The 21,853-nt window shown below is 48.1% G+C and overlaps 1 protein-coding gene and 1 long non-coding RNA gene across 11 annotated transcripts in view, besides 1 other annotated feature; one reads left to right on the top strand and one right to left on the bottom strand.

Moving 5' to 3' along the window:
- ST8SIA5-DT (ST8SIA5 divergent transcript) overlaps positions 1 to 16,975 on the bottom strand; it is a 45,010-nt gene extending 28,035 nt beyond the window's left edge. For 2 of the 8 annotated variants that reach the window (XR_001753434.3, XR_001753432.3), the window contains exons 1-2: positions 14,065 to 15,081; positions 12,258 to 13,727 (exon numbers count right to left, since the gene is read on the bottom strand). This is a non-coding gene — a long non-coding RNA (ST8SIA5 divergent transcript). Of the gene's footprint in view, positions 1 to 3,388; positions 5,191 to 12,257; positions 13,728 to 14,064; positions 15,082 to 15,492 lie in introns of those variants that run through there. The other 6 variants (XR_007066356.1, XR_001753433.3, XR_007066357.1 and 3 more) reach the window with 6 other exon arrangements.
- Positions 15,471 to 21,853, top strand: part of ST8SIA5 (ST8 alpha-N-acetyl-neuraminide alpha-2,8-sialyltransferase 5) — an 89,233-nt gene continuing 82,850 nt past the window's right edge. For all 3 annotated transcript variants that reach the window (NM_001307987.2, NM_013305.6, NM_001307986.2), the window contains exon 1: positions 15,471 to 16,146. In NM_001307987.2, coding sequence (NP_001294916.1) covers positions 16,016 to 16,146 — 131 coding nt within the window. In that variant the 5' untranslated portion in view covers positions 15,471 to 16,015. The remainder of the gene's footprint in view (positions 16,147 to 21,853) is intronic.
- Positions 15,499 to 15,888: a silencer, noted in NCBI's record as "silent region_9420". NCBI's record gives its function as "represses an Ori minimal core promoter by ATAC-STARR-seq in GM12878 lymphoblastoid cells {active_cell/tissue: GM12878}" and the evidence as "EXISTENCE:reporter gene assay evidence [ECO:0000049][PMID:35858748]".

Genomic DNA, 21,853 nt, shown 5'->3' with positions numbered 1-21,853 from the left:
CCAAGTGGTGGTGGTTATTTTAAGTAATTCACGTTGGAGGGAGGAAGTGACTGAGGAAAATGTGAAAATGAGTAGCTATTGCAAGATGTGTGTGATAAATGAAACAGGGAACATAAAGACAGATGAAGAGGCACATCTGTTATTTTTGCTCCTTTTTATAGCAACCTCTAAGTTTGACTTTTCACACTAAGTAGGAACCCTTTAGTTCCTGAGCAATTTCCTGACCCAGTCCCTCATTAGCTCAGTGGGAGCAGAGGAGGATGGAGGGGGCCAGGGCCCTGAGAGCCAATGTGAGTCCCTAGAAAAGAGTCCCCCACCCCAGTCCTCCAGGTTCCCCAAGTGTGGCAGGAATTGGAGGCTTTGTGCAGACGAGGTTTGGTGGGCTGAGAATCCCAGCTCTTCTCTGGCTTCTGCTTCTCCTCCCTTTACTGAAGGATGGTGTGGCTGACCTCAGTCAGTCCCTAAACCCAAGACATCCGTACTCAGGCTGTTCCTAGCAAAGCAGCCTGGTTGCAAAGGAGATGCTTTCTGTAAGAATATGGACACTTTCTTTTTAACATGGGACAATACTGGCATTCTCTCCTGAGTCATTTTTCCTCTTTTTGGAGGTGGACAGTATGCCCGGTGCTCATGTGCTAGTAGGGCCTGAGCATGGGGACTGGCTGAAGTCACAGAGGAGCAGGGGTGATGGTGTCACATGATTCTGGGCTTTTTTCAGGGGGAACTGTTCTGCATTTGGAGGTCCATCTGCTGCTGTGAAGGTTTGAGGGCTGCTAGGGGCAGGGGACCACTGTCCCTGAAATAACCCCAAGTTAGTCTGCTTGGGCCCTTTGATTCCCCGAGGTGCCTCCTTTGGAGTGGAGCACCGAAGGCTCTGGTTAAAAGCAGATTATCGTGGGAGAGTGTATAGATTAAGCTGTTTAGTTATTCACACCTCAGCTCTCATCAGTTTGTTTCTGTTGATTGTATGTTCAGCTCTGTGCTAAGTCTCACCGTGTGGTTCAGGGGGAAGAGAAGGCCCACTCTTGCCAGGGAGGAAGTCACCCCCTGGGTGGAGCTGGAGCAGCTTCAGAGGAATGAAAGGGATGTCTGAAGGCTGATGAGAGGGAGGATGGAGGCAAGACTGCCTGCCAAGAGCAAGGGGTGGGAAGAGCGATTCAGGAAAGTGATTGAATACTTGGAATAATTGCCATGTGGCATGCAAAAGAGAGGAAAATGGCTTTTTCTAGGAGTGTGGGGGGCTTGGTTGGGCTGGAAGCCAGGAGTCTGCAGAGCTGCCTGTCAGCTCAATTATGTTATTTTCTCCAGTAGTGGGGACAGCTTGGAAGCAGAAGTGGATGACGAAGTCATCACTGACTGTGGATTGGCCAGGAAGCAGGTACAGCAGTAGAACCAACCTTCCCCTTTTCTCCTTTTATTTGGGACAGCAAGTAAGCAGCAACTAGGTGTGGCTATGGAACTGAGTTCTTGCCAAGGATATATGAGAGGAAGGCACGGGATGGAAAGGCTCCTGAAAAGAAGGATAGACTGTGGGGGCACTCCATTTTGTTCTTCCTTCTTCTTGCTTCCTCCTCCTGCTGTCTGGAATGTGGACATCATGGCAGGAGCTCAAGCAGCCATCTTGGACTACAAGACAGTGTTCTAAGAATGGGCAAACAGCGAGAGAGGAGGAGCAAGGGTTCCTCAGGCACATAGAGTCTCTATGTTATCTCTGGGCTAACCACCTCTGGATTTCTTTAATTTGAGAGAGAAATAAACACTCATGATTTTAAGAACTGTTATTTTGGGTTTTCTGTCATATGTCATGAACCTAATCCTTTTTTTTTTTTTTGAGACGGAGTCTGGCTCTGTCGCCCAGGCTGGAGTGCAGTGGCATGATGTCGCCTCACTGCAAGCTCCGCCTCCCGGGTTCACGCCATTTTCCTGCCTCAGCCTCCCGAATAGCTGGGACTACAGGCGCCTGCCACCGCGCCCAGCTAATTTTTTTGTATTTTTAGTAGAGACAGGGTTTCACTGTGTTGGCCAGGATGGTCTTGATATCCTGACCTCGTGATCCGCCCGCCTTGGCCTCCCAAAGTGCTGGGATTACAGGCGTGAGCCACCGCACCCGGCTGAACCTAATCCTAATAGAAACAGACCACATGTGAGGGAACCATGGGTATTATAAGAAAGTAAGTTGAGTGATTGACCGTGGGGTCTTAGCAAAGGAGAAAGGATGAGAAACCAGGAGATGGCAAGAATACTGGAGAATGGGGACCCAGCCCTTGGGCTACTAATACAGCACAGTAGCTAGTGGGGGTAGAAGGTCTTGAAAAGTGGAGAACAGGAAGTTGTGGTTAGAAAGTGGAATATCTGATTTTATGATTTCAGACTTGTTTGACTAGATGGGGTCATAGTAAGTGCTAATATTTCCCAAATACTTCCTATGCAGCCAGCTCCCTTTGAAGTAATTGGCAGGCCTAATCTCACTCCTGGTATAACTGTGAAGGTAGTTGTTTCTTTTTTATTGGCCTATCTCATAAATAGGGAAACTGAGGCTCACAGAGGTCAAGAAACCTATCTGAGGGGACAAAACTGGCAATGGTCTGGGTTGGCATTGGAACCCCAGCAGTGTGATTCCAGAGCCCGAGCTCTTAACACACCAGCTCCTCTGCCCTGTACCTCCCTGGGGACTGCCCAGTGGACGGGAAAGCGGGCAGCAAGCAAGGTCAGAGGAGGTGGAGGCCTGCGAGGCTGGCTGCTGGCCACAGCTCTGGATAGATGTCCAAATCCCTAGAATGGGGGCAGGAGGTGAGGTGGAGGGAAAGACGGGCAAGTTGTACCAGACATTGAGGATACAGGCCAGGGCAAGGAATGGCATGGTGCAGCTGGGCGACCAGAGCCTTGACAGGGAGTGAAAGAGCAGAGATCTGGTCCCCAGGAGTGCACCGACCCTGCCTCTGGCCCTGGGGTTCTGAGGGCTTGGAAGAGTCGGCAGGAGTCTAGGGAACCAGCACCCTGCACTGATGATTTTGATGGAAGCAAAAGAAGGGTGGGCTCTGGGAGCAGACAGCCTGGGTTCGGGTCCCATTTCCACATCCTCCTGGCTGTGTCACCTTGGACAGTTACTTAACCTTTTGTGCCTCAGTTTCCTCATGTGTATGGGCATCATAATAGTTCCTACCTCATAAGATCATGAAGACCAAATGCACTAACACCAGGGAGGCACTTACAACAGTGCCTAGCACCCAACAAGAACCCAGTGATGCTGTTGTTGTAGCTGTTGTTGCTTTTCAGAGCTTTGGAGAACCTGAGGAGCAGGGACAGGGTGGAACATGGTGAGGACAGACAATGAGGGGAGGCTCAGAGTGGACCAGGAGAGACCACAGGCTGTGCCTCTCTTCCCGTAGCCAAAGTCCCTGTCAAGGAAGGCTCTGACTTCTGTACGTTACTCTGGACAGGCCCTTGGCCTCCTCTCCTAGGATTATTTGCATGGTAGTCTTGTGTTTCCAATGTAAGGAAAGGCTCGGTCCCTTCTAAATAAATGTCTGAACATCTTGGGAAAGGTGAGGAGTTTTCCTCTGAACCTCCAAACTCCACATGCCCACATATTACCCAGCACCTGCACTAGGGTCACTGTCCTGTAGTACTTGTTGGTTGATGGCATGGACTGCCTCAGCTTTGCCTTTGTGGCCAGGATGGGGCCTGCTCTCCTTGTCCTGCCAGGTGTCCCATCACTGGCCCCAGGCCCTGGGTGCAGACGCTGCCTTTGGCACTAACTGCTACACATTCTGTCTGGCCCTGGAGGGTCCCACACACTTTGTGTGGCCAGCTATTTACTCATTCACGCCTGTAGCTATTATTAGGCACCACGGGAACCCAGTCCTACTGAGGGGGTTTATTTTTATTAGCAAGTGTCATAAAGTTGGCATTCGTGTGTCTGTTTAGGAAACATTCTGGGAAGGCTGAAATAAATATTGGTGAGGGCAACAGTGAATCTTTTAGAGAGCCAGGCACCCCTGGGCCAAACAGTCGTCTAAACAGCCACAGGACCATGGCAGGTCTGGGGCCGGAGGGCACAGCTCCGGGTCCTGTGCTGCTGTGGCCTCAGAGCCTAGGGTCCAGGCTTCACTCTGCCCTTGCCCCACTGTGTGATGCTGGGCAAGTCATTTCACCTCTGCAGGCATCATTGTGGCAATCTGTGAAATGGAAACAATGAACATCCCTCGGGAGCTTTCAGAGACCCAAGCAAAAGCATAGAAATGAAAATGCAGTGGGTGTATTTGAGCCCCATGCTGAGCAGCAGGCACTCGGTAGCCACTCTGGGAAGTACCCAATCAGCACCTGTGACCCCAGGATAGTGCCTGGGGAGCTGAGAGGGATTAGGTCTCTTGCTTGGATTCACAAAGCTAGTGAGTAGGTGGGCTGAGATCTAGATCTTGGAGAGCTGGCTCCAGAGCACATGCTATTTCCACTGTGCCAAAAGGCAAACCAGCCTCAAAAAAGCCCCCCACTGCCCGGGGTATCGGGGAGGCCTGGGAAGTGAGGTGGCCAGAAGAGAAGAGGGGGCTAAGACAGACTTGAGGAGAAAAGCAGAGAAAAGGAAAACATTCCGGATGGGCACATGAGGCTGGGAGGAGCACAGGGTGGGTTCTGGGGTGTGATGGTTTCTCTCTTTTTTTCTTAGTGGTAATGACATGGGTGTCTTCACTCTGTGATAATTTATGGAGAGCTGTATGTTATGATTTGAGCACTTTTCTGTACATATGTTACACCTTTTTGAAAAGGTTAAAAAGATGGTGATTTTGTAGCATGCAGTTTTGAATCCTAATGTATTTTTAAAGTTCATACTCAATTACTTATACAGCTCTCCTCTGCATCCATTCAAATGACATTAAAAATTATGTTTAAGAATCTGAAAATATCCAGGTAAAATTCCCAAGAGTCTGGGTCAACATACAGATTTCAGAACTGAAATTCTGGGAATTTCTGACCTTTCCTTGTGGCTGGCAAGCCCCTGACATGGAACCCACCACTGTTCATAGGTCCTCCTTCCTTTCCTTCTGCCCAGCAAGATGACTGTCTTCTTCAGCCTCCCTGCATCCAGGTTCACCATGTGACTCATGTTAGCCAATGAGATGTGAGCAGAAGAGTTCTGTGAGACTTTGGGGAATGTCCTTCTTTATCTCTTCCTCCATCTTGTTAACTAGACTGAAACAGGCATTAAAAGAAATTTAAAAATGTGTAAGCAAAAACTCAGTTGTATGTAAAAAACCTCATTCCCCCTGAGGAAGAGAAAGAGGTGGAGTCCTTTAAAAATTAACTGCCTGTTTTTCTGTCTATGGCTAGTGAGCCTTATCTCTCCCTTTCTAGGCATTGTGAAGACCCTGTTTCTCTAGCTGTGCAGCTGCAAGGTCACTAGGCAGATAAACTCAAGTCATACATGTTTTTCCTTGAAAAGTAAGAAATAATATAATGCATGTCTCAATTGAATAACTGTCTTTGTTTCTCACTTCTGTAACATACTTCCCCCTGCACAGATCTCCCCCAACCCCAAGAAATGCTTAAAAGGTAACCTGACTCTTTGTTCCGGGCTCAGTCCTTTAGATGTTAATCTGACTGGGCCGGTGCACCTAAATAATAAATAATAAGTATCCTCCTCAACCCCTCAGTCTCTCTGATTCCTAAATTATCCCACTGAAGGACCTTGGATGTGATGGCTAGAGCTTTAGTGTCCACCCTGGAACATGAGCACAGGGATACATCTTTGGGATATTAGAGTAGTGAGTTAAAAAGGCCTGGATTGTCAAAGACTTTTTAAATGGAGCCTCTCTGCCAGCCTTGGATTGCTTACCCCTGAACATCTGTCACATGGTAAAGAAAAAACAACAACACATATGTATCTTTATATTAACTCTTGTCATTTTGGAGATTTCTGTCCTTCAAAGCTGAACCTGATTCTAGCTCATGCACGCCCCATGAAAGACATAAAAGCCTTTCCTTGACCTCCTTGGGCCACATGGTCAACCAAGGATCTGATAGGAACCTACTCATTGATGTGCCCAGTATTGGGAAACCAGGAGGTCATTCACCATCCTGAAAATGCCATTCACCACCTCAAGCAATTAAGCCCTATATGATCAGTGGATAACCCAAGTGGTATGATTTTAGGAAACCCAGGGAGTCTCCCAACTACCTCTTTGACATACATGGTACCCGAAATTCCATCTTTATATATTAACTAATAAGATTATACAGCTATGAGGATTCCTACTCAAATACAGGTGATTCTAGGTAGAGGTACTATATCATCGCATCTCACATTAGCATGAAGCCATTTCTCTTAGAATGAGAGACTAAGTTAGAACATTTTCAAGATGAATGAGAACTTGGGGGACCATTTGGCCCAGTTGTTTTCAAACTTTGCTGTAGCAAGCCCTTGCATTCTGTGACGGTGCCCTCAGAGCTACCATTTATGAGAAGGGGAATGAGGGCAAGAGGAAGGTCACAGAGTCAGGGTTTGAGGCCAGCATTTTAGTGTTAGAAAGTTTTAGAAACTGTAGCTCTTTTTTATTTTATAGGCTGAAAATCCAAGGTTGCCGATAGGTTAATGAAGCCTGAATTCAGACAGCCAGTTAGTGGCAGAGCCAGACCTAGGATTCAGGTTTCTGACTCTTGGGCTTGTGCCCTTTCCACAATCCCAGGCTTCCTTAGTATTAGTTTCAGACCTGCATTAAGGAGATGAGATAGTGAGACTCCGAACAGGTGAGTCTTGGTGAGCAGAGAGTGTAGGGGGCAGATCCTGGTCTGGGCTTCAGTGGGGACAGTCATGGTCAGCAGACAGTCCTGGGTACTTGGACTAGTCAAGTGTTGAGGCGAGGAAAAGGAGACCACCGAAGATACCTGACCAAATTCACAAATTTGTTGAGACTCAGCATTTATGAAATTTCCTCCCCTATCTAATGTCATAGTAAATAATGCTGTTTACCTTAGGACTGTATAGCTTCACTGTTTTCAAAATGCCCCTACATTTTTACTTTGACCCTCACAAACTCCTACTTTGAGGGATAGGTATTATTTTTCCAGTTTACAGGTGAGAAGACCAGTGCATTAGGGATGTTAAGTGCCTTTCCTGAGCTCACAGAGTTGTGACATAAAGCATGTCTCCTCCTGACACCCCATTCTGAGCTCTTTCTCCCATCCTACAGCACCTCTCACATTCTAGGACATTGCCAGCCACTTTCTTCAGCCTTCTCACCTCCTTGCAGGTGAACACCAAGGTATTTAGGCAACAAACATAATCTGTTTTCACACTTGTAAGTTGGCTGACCTGTTGCCTGGCTTCTTGCTTTTCCTATGGGCTTCATGATTGTAGTCATAGGTGCTAGCACCAGTAAAGAGAGAGAGAGAGAGAAAGAGAGAGAGAAGAGAGAGAGAGAGTTGGGGGGATGGGCAGGAGACTGCCACAATTCTACATATGGTTCTGAAACAACATTTCTGGGAAGTTGGAGGAGGACATCTCACCATCCTCTTGTTTTTCTGCCATCAACACTACTCTTAATCACAGCAACCGTGTTCCATTGAAAGGAAGAAAGGGGAAAATAAGTAGAAGAAAGTGCCACTCTGGATCATAGAGGACATGCGGGTTGACTCCAACATCCATTGCCTCTCCATCCAGGTAGCAGCAATGTGGTTCTGGACTTGATCCCAGCTCCTGGGGATGGCTCTTAGCCAACTAAGCCAACTATGAGCTATCATACCCTTGTCAGTGATTGGTTCAGGAACCCAGGCATAAGCCAATCACTACATGGATCCCTCTGGTGATTATTATTGGTCTCAGGCTGGAGGAGAATCTTCCCTCCCCTCCCCTCCCCTCTCCTCTCCTCTCTCCACTCTCCTGCTATTGTCCCAGTTACAGCTGGCCTCTATCCCTGACCATGAGGACAGCTCCTCTTAGGCAGAAGCCTATATTGTAGATGGTAGAGCAAAGGATGGAAAGGAGCTGGAGTCATAGGACACTGATCAGCCAATTGTGGAGCCCACCCCTCCTCTAGATTTCCTGATATGTGAGATAATGAATTTCTCTATGGTTCCTGTTACTTTCGTGAAAAGACCTTAACTGACACACTGACTTTTAGGACACAAGAATTTATTGTCTTCATAAGTGGAGGTGAAATCTCACCAAGCAACCCATATATTTGTTTAGTTGTCCATGGTGACCTGGGACGTGTATTTATGAGACCGCTGGTCAAAGTTAGAGGAGAGTGTATGCATAGAAAGGTCATCCTGTGATCTCCAGGTTCACTTCAAGGATAAATAAAACTGTGCTAACATGTTGATGGTGGATAATAGATTAACATGTTATTATTTATTAGGCCTTTGTAAATATGATGTCTAAACATGGAATGCCTTTTATGGTGACTCTTCAGGGAAATGAGGTGGGACTTCTTGCATGGGATCTGCATATCACAAAGTGTGGAGCAGGAGTTAGCAATCCTGTGGAGCAACTCTGGCCATTCACATTCGTTCTCCATTGTCTATGTTTTCACACTACAGTGGCAGAGTTGGGAGTTGCAACAGAACCTGTCTGGGCCACAAAGTTTATGATATTTATCATCTGGCTCTTTCAGAAAAAGTTGGCTAGTATCTGGCATTCACCACAGTCTACTTGGCCTATAAGTAATGGCAATCCAGGCAAACTCATAGCACAGCAAGACTAGGCTGTTATATTGGTAACTACACTTGCGGACAATGATCTATTTTCAGGGCGTTCAGGCAGTATACATCAATCTTGTTGTAGCTGTTCTTATTGTAGTTCATATATAAATATTGACATATTAATAGTTAGAGGGCAAGACATTTTCTATAAAACAAATCATATTTCCATTTATTTCTGTTATAAAATCAGATATGTATTCTTTCAGAAAATCATTCTCCGCTAGATTGCATTGAAAATGTTTGAGGATGTGGTTAAGGTGATGGCTACTTATATAATTCTTTACAGTGCTCTGAGTGCAGTTCTAACAGGACAACACCTTCATTGCAGTCAGAGAGGATGCTTCAGGTTAAATTTCTCCCATCAGGAACACTAGTATTTAAGAGAAAGCTATCAAAGCCTTTCCCAAGAGCAGAGGTTCCAAAAGGGAGGGGAAGAGAGTGTTATTATACCAGGAACCTATAGAGCAGAGGGGGCTGCAGAGTAACAAAAGGGTATATGTACCAAAAACAAACTCTGCTAACTGCACAGTTTTGCGGTGGACCAGCCTCAATCAAGCTTAACCTATTTCCATGCATCTCAGGTGAATTGAATGATGAAGCACTTAATATGGTGACAGCTTCTATAAAGCAGTCAGTAATCATGTTTCTCTACTCTTTTCCTGCTACCCTGGAAGGAGGCAGATAATTAATTCTCAAATTGGTACAATAATATGAGCTCATAGTAGGGCTGCCTGCCAATGAGGTATGTGGTGGGAAGGGGAGGCCAAGGGAAGGGGTCTGGTCTGATCAGGGAAAAGAAAGACAAGCCGGCATCTCCGTGCCTTTTCAGTCTTTGAACCCTCAAACTGTGCTCCACTAGCCTGCAGCTTGATTATCTAAAATGCAAATCTGATCATATCATTCCCCTACTTAAAATCTTGCAATGGTTTCATGGATAAAATCCCAATTCTCTGTGCTCTGTCTCGCACTCACCCACCCAGCCTAATCTCTTCAGCCGTGTTGAGCCAACTGTACCCCATCACCCACTGCCAGCCTCCACCTACAGTACCTTGTCCCACCTCTTTACCTGGCTGAACGTCCTCACGCATCACAATTCAGGTCAAACACTACCTCCTCTGGAAACCTTCCTTGCCATTCTGCCCCCTGCCCACTGACCTCTCTGTCACTCCCAATTTGGGTTAGACAGATCTTAATCCTACTATAGGGCACTGTCTGTCTTCCTCATGGGAATTTAAACTCCTTTCTAGGCACAGACTGTGAATGACTGATTCTCGTTTCCCTAGCATGTCATACAATGTCTAGCACATAGTGTCCATACTAGCCATGTCTACCCAATGCATGGAGCTTTTAGAATTTAGGATGGTGGTTAAATGACACATGCTTTACTGTGGCCATGGTGTTAGGATTTGAAACATCCCTTGGTGCTTCAGAAGTAGATGATCACAGTGGAACACTCATCCCTTTTCTCTTCTCAGGTACCCAAGGAATATTAAACATTTTTAAGCAGCTGTATTTATAGGGCATTCCTCTGAAAGTCTCAGCATTATACAGACCACCAACAAAATGCGTCTAGGGGCTTGCACTGGCTTGGAAATTAAAAAATACATTCTCTTAGCTGAATTCATCAAAGGGCAGAACCTGATCCAAGTGTTTCTACCCTACAGCCCAGCCTTTAAGGTAAGAAAAGGAGATTCTAGGTCCATTATGTCCAGCATGTCATCTGAATGTGATCTGAGTGACCTTATTCCAGTGATGCTGTTTCTGGCAAGTACAGGAACATACTGTAGGAGTGTGACATGCCTGAGGTGCAAGAGAATCTTTCTGTACTATGATGCATCAGGTGGTTTATGGATTACTAATAATAATATCTCTACCCTTTGAAACAAACTGGATAAATTGGAACAAATGCAGGAGAAGAATATCTGGGAGTGATGCTGAGACAGGCAGGAGGATGCTTCTCAGCTTGGAGATATGAAAGCTGAAAGGTGGCTTCATCTCCAGGTTCAAGATTATAAATGATTTTTCATAAATTATATTGGATACAATTTGTACTTCATAAGGGGACTGAACAAGGGGTTTAAATCATTTTTCTGTTATATAATTTATTAAAAACGAGACTGATGAAGTAGAGTCTTGTGTCTGCAGTTGACCATGTAATGGCAAAACCCTGGCTCTCTGATTACAAGGTTATAACTGGGCATTTCTGCTCACCTGACAGCAAGATACCCTCATCACAGACAAAGTGTCCCAGAGCCAGGAATCAGCCTCTTGAAGGCCTGGCTTGTTAACATAAATGTAAAGAGGCACAAAAACAGCATGTACTTATCACATACTCCTCGAACACATGGGTGAAATGTCACTTACATAATCTGACAGGTTGCAGTTGTGCTGTATGATATAAAAACTGGCTTTTTAAAACTGGTAGAAACCTCTAAGTTTTTGAAAAAGTCTTTCCATTTTATATTGGAGACAATGCTCACAGCATGAGTAATGCTCATCAGTTATCAGTAATTTAGCAGATGGTGCCAGTGTTGACATTTGTTCTGGCTTAATTGTGCATGAGTGTGTGTTTTAAACAATGATGCAGCTGTCCCCATTCCTGGCAATTAGAATATAAAAATGGTGTTCACTGAATCTGGCATAGTGATCATTTATCCATGTGTTTACTCTTTTGTTTGCAAGGCCTTCTGAGTGTTTGCTGCAATTCTACAATCAGAATATAAATTTGGCTTAAAATGGAATCTAGCTCCATACTGATAGGAACAAAAGGGACTTCAGACCTCCATGTTTTGAGATCTTAGGTCTCCAGCTTCACTAGAGATGCCTGTGAGGTGTTTGTGTGTGTGTTAAAGATACCTCTGATATGAAGATAGTCAGAATTAAAATGCCATTAGGATTAGAAGAGCAGTGTCAGCAGAGACCACTGGACTATTGCTGATCATGTGCAGAGGATCAAGTGACCAAAATCTATTCTACATAGAGTCTTGCTGCAAAGTTCTAGCTATTCCTAATGCCAGCATCAATCTCATTCACTGCCAATTCATGCAGGAGACCTAACTGTTGAGTACCTCCTCAAGGGAGAGTGGGTGCCTTTGGAGCTGTTGTTGTCCCTCAACTATCTTGGCTCTTGATTGGGTGGGCTTTTTGCTATTAGGTTAGCCAGTTAGTTTTATTGTGGGGACGAATTCCTTATTAGGTCGTGGCAAATCTGGATAAAATACCTATTAAAAATAATTTTCCCTTTGGAAAAACTTTGGCAGTAATTGCTAAAGCTGAACATATGTATACTCTCTGACCTAGCAATTTTACTTCTAGAAATAGATACCCAGCAGATATGCATGCATGTTTTCACCCAAAAAACCATGCACTGGAAGGCTGATGGCAGCAACTACCCAGATGTCCATCAGCTGTAGAATGGATAAGTTGTGCCACAGTCGTTTGATGGCATACTATATAGCAATAAGATTGAACAAACTATAACTGCACACAGAAGTATTAGTTTCATATTGCAGTGAAACATATTACCACAAACTTAGTGGCTTAAAGCAACACACACTTACAAGCTCACAGATGTGTAGGTCTTACATCTGGGCACGGCATAGCTGGGTTCTCGGCTGAGGGTCCCAACAGCTGAAATCAATGTGTAGGCGGCTGGAGCTCAGAATCCTCTTTGAAGTGTATTCAGGTTGTTAGCAGAAGTCGGAGTCTGCTTCATGATTGGAGGACTGAGGTCCTCATTTCCTTGCTGGCTGTCAGCCAGGAGCCAGTCTCAGCTCCTACAGGCTGTCTGCATCCTTTGCCTTGTGGACCTCTTCTGTCTTCGAAGGCAACAGCAAAGAATTTCCCTCATATCAGCCACTCTCGTGATTCAAATCTTTTTCACCAGGAAGAGCCCAGTCCCTTGTAAGGGCTCCATATGGCCATGCCCACTGAGGACAATTTCCTGATATTAAAGCCAACTGATTTAGGCCAATTACATCTGCAAATTCCCTTCACAGCAGCGCCTAGATCAATACCTATGGGAATGTGCATACAAGAAGGGGTGAGGAATCTTGGGGGTCTTCTTGTAATTCTGCCCACCACATGCAACAGCATGGATAAATCTCATAGCAACGTTAAGCAAAAGAAGGCAGACACAAAATAATATATAATGTATAATTGCATTTATATAAAACACAAAACAGGAAGCACTGATCTTTGGGGTTAGGATTCAGAACAGTGGTTACTCTTGAGTACATAGTAACCAGATAGGAACATGAGGGGACTCCTGGGGGCCGATAATTGATCTGTGTACTGGTTACATGGGTGTGTTCAGCTTGTGAAAACACAGCGACCTGAACATTTATGATTTGTGTACTTTTCTGTAAATGCATTATATTGCAATTAAAAAGTTCTTAGGATAATTTTGATTCATTTCTTGAAAATAGATTTGTTTTTCCAAGAAAACAGCACTCAAAGACAGGTATCAGAGTGAGCACCTGATGGGGTGGAGAATAAGCAGGAATACAAAAGAAACAACAGTGCCTTGCCTGGAGTGAAGATGATAGTACCCCTCAAACTCTACACTTGAGCACCAAGTAGAGAAAAATTAGTGAAAAATTAGTACTGTCATCTTGGAGCCTGTGTGTAGGACCTACCTCATAATTTGGCCCAGTGCAAAGAGAAATGCAAACCCCCTTGTTCAAAAGTTTGAAGACAGCAAGAGTGGAGCAATCAGTCAAAATCAATGGTGGTGGTGGGGACAAATGAACAAGTCCCACTCCCAAGAAGCCAGCCTGCCTGTGTGTGTGGGAGAAAGAACCTCATCTCAGAATCCCAAGACTTGTTGCTAGGTGAGTTACTTTGGGCATCTGTTGCTTTAGTCCTTTCAGCTGTAAAATGGGTTAGCCAGGGGCTAGGAGGTGAAAATTCATTAATATATGCAAGTGAAGCACGTTTTTATGTGCCAGACAGCAAACAAATACAGGAATTATTATAATAATGGGCCCTCTAAATGTTGGAGTTTTTCTTTAATTGGTTAAAAAGCCTACCTGTGGCCGGGCGCGGTGGCTCACGCCTGTAATCCCAGCACTTTGGGAGGCCGAGGCGGGTGGATCATGAGGTCAGGAGATCGAGACCATCCTGGCTAACAAGGTGAAACCCCGTCTCTACTAAAAATACAAAAAATTAGCCGGGCGCGGTGGCGGGCGCCTGTAGTCCCAGCTACTCGGGAGGCTGAGGCAGGAGAATGGCGTGAACCCGGGAAGCGGAGCTTGCAGTGAGCCGAGATTGCGCCACTGCAGTCCGCAGTCCGGCCTGGGCGACAGAGCGAGACTCCGTCTCAAAAAAAAAAAAAAAAAAAAAAAAAAAAAAAAAAAAAAAGCCTACCTGTGACCTTGCAGAGAAATACAGAAACTCTTCATGGATAGCACAGGGGCCACTTCTGCCTTATGAATTAACACAAATCCCGAATTCTTGGTGGAACCCTTATCATGAGATTTTACTGTGCATTATTTGATCTTTCCAGTTCAAAGAAGAAACTACTAAATGCCAAGGTCGAGAGTATTGGAGTCTGGGCACTTCCCCCATCAAAGTTCTTGTGCTGAGGTTTGAGTTTCGGTCAGGTTCGCTGTTGAATCCCTGGCCTGACTCTAGAACATCCCGGAGTGCCTGCTGGAACCTGGGAAGGGGCACCCTAGAATCTTCCAACCGGCCTCAGTGGCGAGCGCCGCGGGCACACGACTCCCAGCGCTTGGAGCCTCTGCGGTGTTAGGATGACAGGACTGTCGCCTGGCCGGGTTGGGGGGTGGGGACGGTATTTCAGGCTAAGAATTTCTGAGAGGCACGACATTCGCATTGCGTTTCTGTGATTATTCTCCCTGGCTTGCGTTCTGAAGCACGAATCTTTCCGGATGTAGTAACTGGCTTCCTAAAGCTTTGGGGGGACTGTGGTCCCCGAAGGCTGCCGGCTGCCTGACCTAAGATTTACGAGTGGTTCCAAGGATGAGACAAGGTCCCAGTGTCTCGGTGACAACAGGGTCTTTGACGAACGGCTGCCGAGTTGCAGCTGGGGAGGGGGAAGAGGACTGTGGCGGGGGCGGGGAGCCCCTGAATTTCTTCCTTGTAGGAGTTGGGCGCCGGGGCACGGGCAGGCAGCCCCGCAGGCCATCAGCATGCAGGAGCGGCGCGCCGTCCTTGAAGGGCTGCCCGGCTGACCTTGCTCCGCTTTCTCCGGAGAAATCGCTAGGAGAGCGCGAGGACGCGGCCACGATGGTGACTCAGTGCCCTGCGCGCCGCACGCAAATGCTCCCTTCCATCAAGTCCAGCTCCGCAACTGTTGTTTCCTCTTCCTGCCCTCTTTTTTTTCTTTTTTTTTCTTTTTGAGACGGAGTCTCGCTCTGTCGCCCAGGCTGGAGTGCAGTGGCGCGATCCCGGCTCACTGCAACCTCCGCCTCCCAGGTTCAAGCGATTCTTCTGCCTCAGTCTCCCAAGTAGCTGGGACTACAGGCGCGTGCCACCACGCCTGGCTAATTTTGTTTTTTGTATTTTTAGTAGATACGGGTTTTCGCCATATTGGCCAGGCTGGTCTTGAACTCCTGACCTTGTGATCCGCCCGCCTCGGCCTCCCAAAGTGCTGGGATTACAGGAGTGAGCCACCGCGCCCAGCCCCTGCCCTCTTTTTAATTCCAAGATTCAAACCCGGCGTTTTGCGCTCCGCCCCTCCCCCTCCCCACGGCCCGCCTATCATTAGCCAGACTGCGCGGGTGTTTTGTACGCCCCCTCCCCCCGTCCCTATCGGCAGAACCGGAGGCCAACCTTCGCGATCCCTTGCTGCGGGCCCGGAGATCAAACGTGGCCCGCCCCCGGCAGGGCACAGCGCGCTGGGCAACCGCGATCCGGCGCCGGACTGGAGGGGTCGATGCGCGGCGCGCTGGGGCGCACAGGGGACGGAGCCCGGGTCTTGCTCCCCATTGGCCGCCACCTCGGCGGGAGGGGCCGCCTCCGGCTCGTGGCACCTGGCGTCTCCCCTCCGCGGGGAAATCGGCGGCTACCCGGCACCGGCGCCTGGAGGTAAAGGTACCCGGGGGTGGGGAAGGCCCCTGGCCGCGGCAGAGCTCCCTGCCACCGGCCCTGTCCTGCTTGCCGCCCCAGCGCCTGCGACGCTTGGATGCCCCCAGCTCCGGCCGCGCCAACCAGAAACTTTGCCCCTCGAAGTCCCCCGCCTGCCTGACCGCACCGTGAGGCGCCAAGTCGGCCGCGCGCCCCCCGGGGCCCCGGAACCCCGCGAGTCATTGCCTGGCCGCCCCGTACCCCGCGCCCGCGGCGCCCGGTAGCCAGGATGCGCTACGCGGACCCCTCGGCCAACCGGGATTTGTTGGGGAGCCGAACTTTGCTCTTCATCTTCATCTGCGCCTTTGCCTTGGTGACCTTGCTGCAACAGATCCTGTATGGCAGGAACTACATTAAGAGGTAAGAAAGTCCATTGAGAGGGCGGGATGCGCGGAGCCGGCCGGCGAGCCCCCGGGTGGCAGTGGCCGCGGCAGCTTCGGTCGCAGCGCCCCGGGGTGAGTGGCCGTGGGGTCCGCTCCTAGCCCCGAGCATGGCCGCTTAGGCTTGGGCCACCGCGTTTCCAAGAGCATCCTTGCTTGCTTCTGCCCAGCGCTGGCTGGAGGGTCCAGACAACTTTGTTCCGCTGTGAAAAATGAAGGACAGAATAGAATTCCAAGCAACCAGGCTGACGATAAATCCATTTAATACCCGGAGAGACCGCATGGATCGGAGCGGTGTCCTCCAGACCCACAGTTCTATGGCCATTTGTTTGGACTCCGGGGTCGGAGGGCTCAAAATCGTATCGATTGTTTGTTTGTTTGTTTGTTTGTTTATAACCTCGCGAGTCCTGAACTTTCGTAAGGACCCTTGGGAGAAAAAGCATTTTCCCCTCCAGGAGCTTCGGGTTCGGTGGGGGTGGTAGTGTGGGCTGTGGCTATGCGACAGGGATAGTGATAGTGAAGTCTTACAATCCCACAGCCACTGGATCTGTGAAACTCAACAACCTGATTCCTTCTGAAACAGATGGCTTTTTTTTTCTCATCCTTAGCGCAAAAGGTCAGAGCTGCAGCATAAGTTAACCCCTCGTTGGGCTCTCCCCCTACTCCACCCCAATCCACGGTTAAACTCCAAGAGAAAGAGCAGTAGGAGGTGTCACTCAGAAATTCAATTCGGGCACAGCCTCAGCCTCTCTATTTGCAGAAGATACACTGAAATGCCAGCCACTTCCTTCTGCCGGCTCTGCTGGCTTAAGGAAACACTTGGGGTTCCTCCGCCTGGTTTGAGAGATTAGGGGAGGTTCTTGCTCTAGGATACACCCATATCAGAGCCTCTCTTGGCAAGAGCCCTCTCTCCTAGCTGCTGGGCTGTTTTTTAGTTTGCTGCTAGTGTCTCCCTACTCTCACCGCCCCTCCCCTAGGTTGATAGGAAAATAAATGTCTCTCTAGCTAAGTAAGCATCCCACCTTCTTCTCTAAACTTCCCCATAACGAAACAGCCCTCTTCTCATCCTTTGGGTGAGGTGGATACATCAGGTATGGGTGCTCCCAATCTGGGCTGCCCACGAAGGTGGGAGGGTGAGGATCGCTGCTAGGTGTCGCTGTCCAGTGGAAAAGCCGAGCACTTAGGCTGTTTCCCCTCCTTGTAACTCCCCCGGAGCTGGGGAGTAATGAGGCACCTTGTTCTGAACATTTGTTTACAGCCAGTTGCTGCTCCGGACCTTCCCAGGGAGCGTTCCCTGGTTGGTGGCAGCTCCTGAGTGCTGTCTGACACTGGTGGCTTTAAAGGCCATCTTCGGAGTCTCCTGGCTTCTTGGATCTGATTGGGCCTGCCTCTTGTTTTGGCTACTGCTGCCCCTGAGATGATCCTATGCAAGGACAGCTGGGTCCCCCACAGCTTGCTGCGGCCCTGCAGGCCGATTGCCTGCTGCTGTCTTGGCACTTGCTCTTCAGCAGGGCAGCTCTGGGTTCCTGCCCCCTCCCGGCACCTCCCCAAAGTTGCTGGGGCTGCTGGGATTCCTTCTGCCTTGTCAACAGGGGGAAAATACAACCGCCCATGGCAAACGCCAACCAAACTACCTGCTTGCTCTGGCAAGTCCTCCCTGGTCTTGGGTGGGTGGGCTAGCTGCCAGGAGTTCAGCAGGCACACAAGGTGCTTCCCTTCCTCCCTCACAGAGACCCTGACCCCCTGAATCGCATAGATGCTATCTTGCAGGCCTCACTCTAGAGACTCAACCCAATCAACCAGGCAAAACTTGTATAGGGCTGATCCTGGAAGCGTGCCTGTAGATAAGGGTCTGTAAAGAAGGAGATGATGTGGTCTTGGTACTCAGAGGACTCGAAGTCTATTTGGGGCAACAAAATAGCCACAAATGAAACAGAAAGTGAATGTTAAACTGTCTGAGAAGAGAAGCACTGATAGGCTGGAGAAGTTAGGCAAGACTGTGCCCAGAGGAAGTTGAACTTGAGTGGGCCTTGAAGGAAGGGTAAGATTTGAGGGTGGGGGCAGGGGGCATGCACATCCAAAAAGTGGGCAGGAGCAAAGGTGCAGAGATGCAAGTGTGTCACAATTTCCTCCCGTCTCTCCCACACCTGACCCTACCTACACTGCAGCACTTGGCTTAATCATTGGTTAGTCCTGATCTTGAACTGGATGTGGCTGTCACATCAGTGTCACCCCTAGCACCTGCTTACCTATCTTGTTTCCTCCATATATCATGATTGTAATGAACTGGCCTGATGTGATTATCATCAGTCTGTCTCCTGTCTACAAACACTTGACCAGTGTTCTTCAAGCAGAGGCTCTGGGAGGGCCTGAATCAGAACCAACTGGAGGACCATTGAAATGCAGACTCCTGAGCCCCTGAATCTGACTGTCTTCGGGTGAGATCTACTAACCTGCCTTTGTAACAAGCTCCCCAGGCGATCTGCAAGCTGCAACAAGCTCCTCCTGCTGCTCTAGACCAGTGGTTCTCAATCCCCTATTCCCCGTGGCAATGTTTGGAGACTTCTGTGGCATTCACACTGGGGAGAGGAGAGTGCTGCTGCATGCAGAGGGAAGAGGCCAAAGAGGTTGTAAAGACCTATAATGCATAGTTTGCCCCCAGCAACAAATAATTTTCCAGCCCCAAATGTCAGTAGTGCTGAGGTTGAGAAACTGCTCTAGACCGAAAGCTCCATGCAGTGGGGATTTGCTCTTTTTTCTTTTTCTTTCTTTTTTTTTTTTTTCTGAGATGGAGTCTCACTGTGTCACCCAGGCTGGAGTGCCGTGGCGCGATCTCAGCTCACTGCAAACTCTGCCTCCCGGGTTCAGGCCATTCTCCTGCCTCAGCCTTGGCAAGTAGCTGGGACTACAGTGGCCTGCCACCACACCCAGCTAATTTTTTGTATTTTTAGTAGAGACGGGTTTTCAGCCTGTTAGCCAGGATGGTCTTGATCTCCTGACCTTGTGATCCGCCCGCCTCGGCCTTCCAAAGTGCTGGGATTACAGGCATGAGCCACTGCGCCCAACCAATTTGCTCTGTTTTGTTCCCAGCTGCACTGTGAACACCAAACTTGGTGTCCAGCACATAAGATGTTCTCAATAAATATTGGATAATGAATAAATAATTGAAGGTAGGACTATGTGTGTGCGCGCAGGGATTGTAACAGGAAGAGACACAATGAAGAAATGGATACAACTGCTGTGAGGTGGAAGGAAGGGACGAAGAGGGCAGATGTAACAGTGGGTCACTAGCCTCAGCAAAGTGTTTTGAAGATTGAGAAGAACAATTTGCATTTGGTTCATTGGGCCATTGGGAGCTGTGTTTGGCCCTGGAGTAGGGTAATGGCAGGATAAAAGCCCCTAAGAAGGATGTTAGCTGGGTCTCCTACAGGAAGGGTTAAAGAGGTAGAGAGGCTGGGAGGTACTGTCACAGCCCAGTGAAAGTGAGAAGAACTTGTTGCAGGGAGCAGGTCCACTTCAGAGCCAGGGGATTCCTGAAGGCTGCCATTCTTTGCTTCTGTGCTGAGCTGGTGCGATGCCACCTCACAAAGATTTCAGGGACACAGCAAAGGCAGGCTCTTCCAGGGAGAATTTAGCGACAGCCCAGAGCAAATGGCAGTGGGGCTGTGAGTCGATGTGTGCTTACTTCTTTGGACCCTGGGCTCTCCCTGTGCTCTGCAACCAGAGCTTTTGGGAGGACCCCATTGAGAGCAGTCAGAACTCTGGGGGTCCATTTGCAGCACCTCCCTTGGTCAGGAGGGGAGAAGGTGGGGCAGTGCAGGTGGCTTAGTGGGCTCAGTGTCTCTAATGGAGAAAGCATGTGCTATGTGAATGAGGAGAAAAAGACAAGAAACAAAGTTGTGAACGTACTCCTTGATGCTCTTGGCTTCTCCATGTCTGTTTTGATTGATTGAACAAATACTTCATGCAGATTTACTCTTTAAGTGCTAGGGATACAATGGTGTGCAAGGCAGGCACAGTCCAGGGTCTCCAGGGAGCCGGTGGCTATTGGGAAGACAGAAAGGCACGCCTAGAGGAATGGACGAGGGACTCTAAAAACAAGGAGGAGGCGCCAGAGAAAATCACTGTGTTTCAAGGTACATGGAGGCATTTGAAGGGGTCTTCAAGAAAGGGGAATGATCCACAGGCATAGGCAGAAGTGAAAGGAAGGGGGATGAAACCGAGTTTGAGCAAGGATTGACAAGTGCAGGCAAGAGTTGAGTGAATCTGCATGACTCAGGGGTTAGAGCTATATTGCTGGGGACAGAGTGAGGCAGGCAGGGCCCAATTCCTGAGAAGAAAGTAGGGACCCTGTGAGGATGGCGTGTCTGGGAGGGAGCGGGGAGGGTGACAGCTGTGGGTCTGGATCCTCGTGCGTGGAGCTACCCAGAACTGCGTTGGGAAGAGCCAGACTAGTAATGTAGATTTGGAGTCACCAACCACTGACATCAGTGTTTTTCAAACTTTTATGATTGGGAAGCACAGTATGGCATATGTTATAGCCGGAGACCTTGAACACAGTTATGTACACACTCAACTGAAACATTTTGTGAAGCAATACTTGGCCTTATTACGAGAAATGTACTCTAATGTTTTCTATTTTACTTCATTTAAAAAATCCATTTGCCATGTGCGGTGGCTCATACCTGTAATCCCAGCACTTTGGGAGGCCTAGGCTGGTGGATCATGAGGTCAGGGGTTCGAGACCAGCTTGACCAACATGGTGAAACCCTGTCTCTACTAAAAATACAAAAATTAGCCAGGTGTGGTGGCACACACCTGTAATCCCAGCTACTCAGGAGGCTGAGGCACAAGAATTGCTTGAAACTGGGAGGTGGAGGTTGCAGTGAGCCAAGATCGCACCATTGCACTCCAGCCTGGGTGACAGAGCGAGACTCTGTCTCAAAAAATAAATAAATAAAATTTAAAAATTAAATAAATAAATAAATAAATAAATCCATTCTACTTCCTTAAAAAATACAATGGAATATTGGCCTTAAAAAGAAAGGAAGTTCTGAAATGTGCTACAACATGGATGAACCTTGGAGACCTTGTGTTAAGTGAAATCAGCCAGGCACAAGAGGACAAATACTCTATGATTCCAATGATATGAGAGACCTAGAGTTGTCAAATTCATAAAGACAGAAAGTAGAATGGTGGTTCCTGGGGGCTGGGTGTGGGATGGGGAGTCATCTTTTAATGGGTATGGAGTTTCAGTTTGGAAAGATGAGAAAGTATTGGAGATGGATGGTGGTGATGGTAGCACAGCAATGTGAATGAACTTAATGACATTCAACTGTAGACTTAAAAATGGTTAAAATGGTAAATTTTATGTTATTGTGTATTTTGCCACAATAAAAAGAGTTTTTATTAAAAAAATCTGAGAGCAACCCATTAAATTTTACAATCCGTTGGGTTGAAACCCTCAGTTAGAAAACCACTGATGTGAGCAATGGGATTGGATGAGTCACCAAGGACAGAGCAGAGTGGAAAATGATGATGGGTCTGGGCACAAAGGAGAGCCTTGAAGGATGTCTGCACCTATAAGGGGTCGAGAGAGGAGAGCTGGCTCTGGAAGCCGAGGCTGGAGAGAGGTGGAGGGGAATGAGGAGAGGGAGGTGTTAAGGAAACCAAGGGACGAGGGCGTC

The sequence above is a fragment of the Homo sapiens genome, chromosome 18 (assembly GCF_000001405.40).
Source record: "Homo sapiens chromosome 18, GRCh38.p14 Primary Assembly".
NCBI lineage: Eukaryota > Metazoa > Chordata > Mammalia > Primates > Hominidae > Homo > Homo sapiens.
This window is presented reverse-complemented; position numbering and strand designations above follow the sequence as displayed.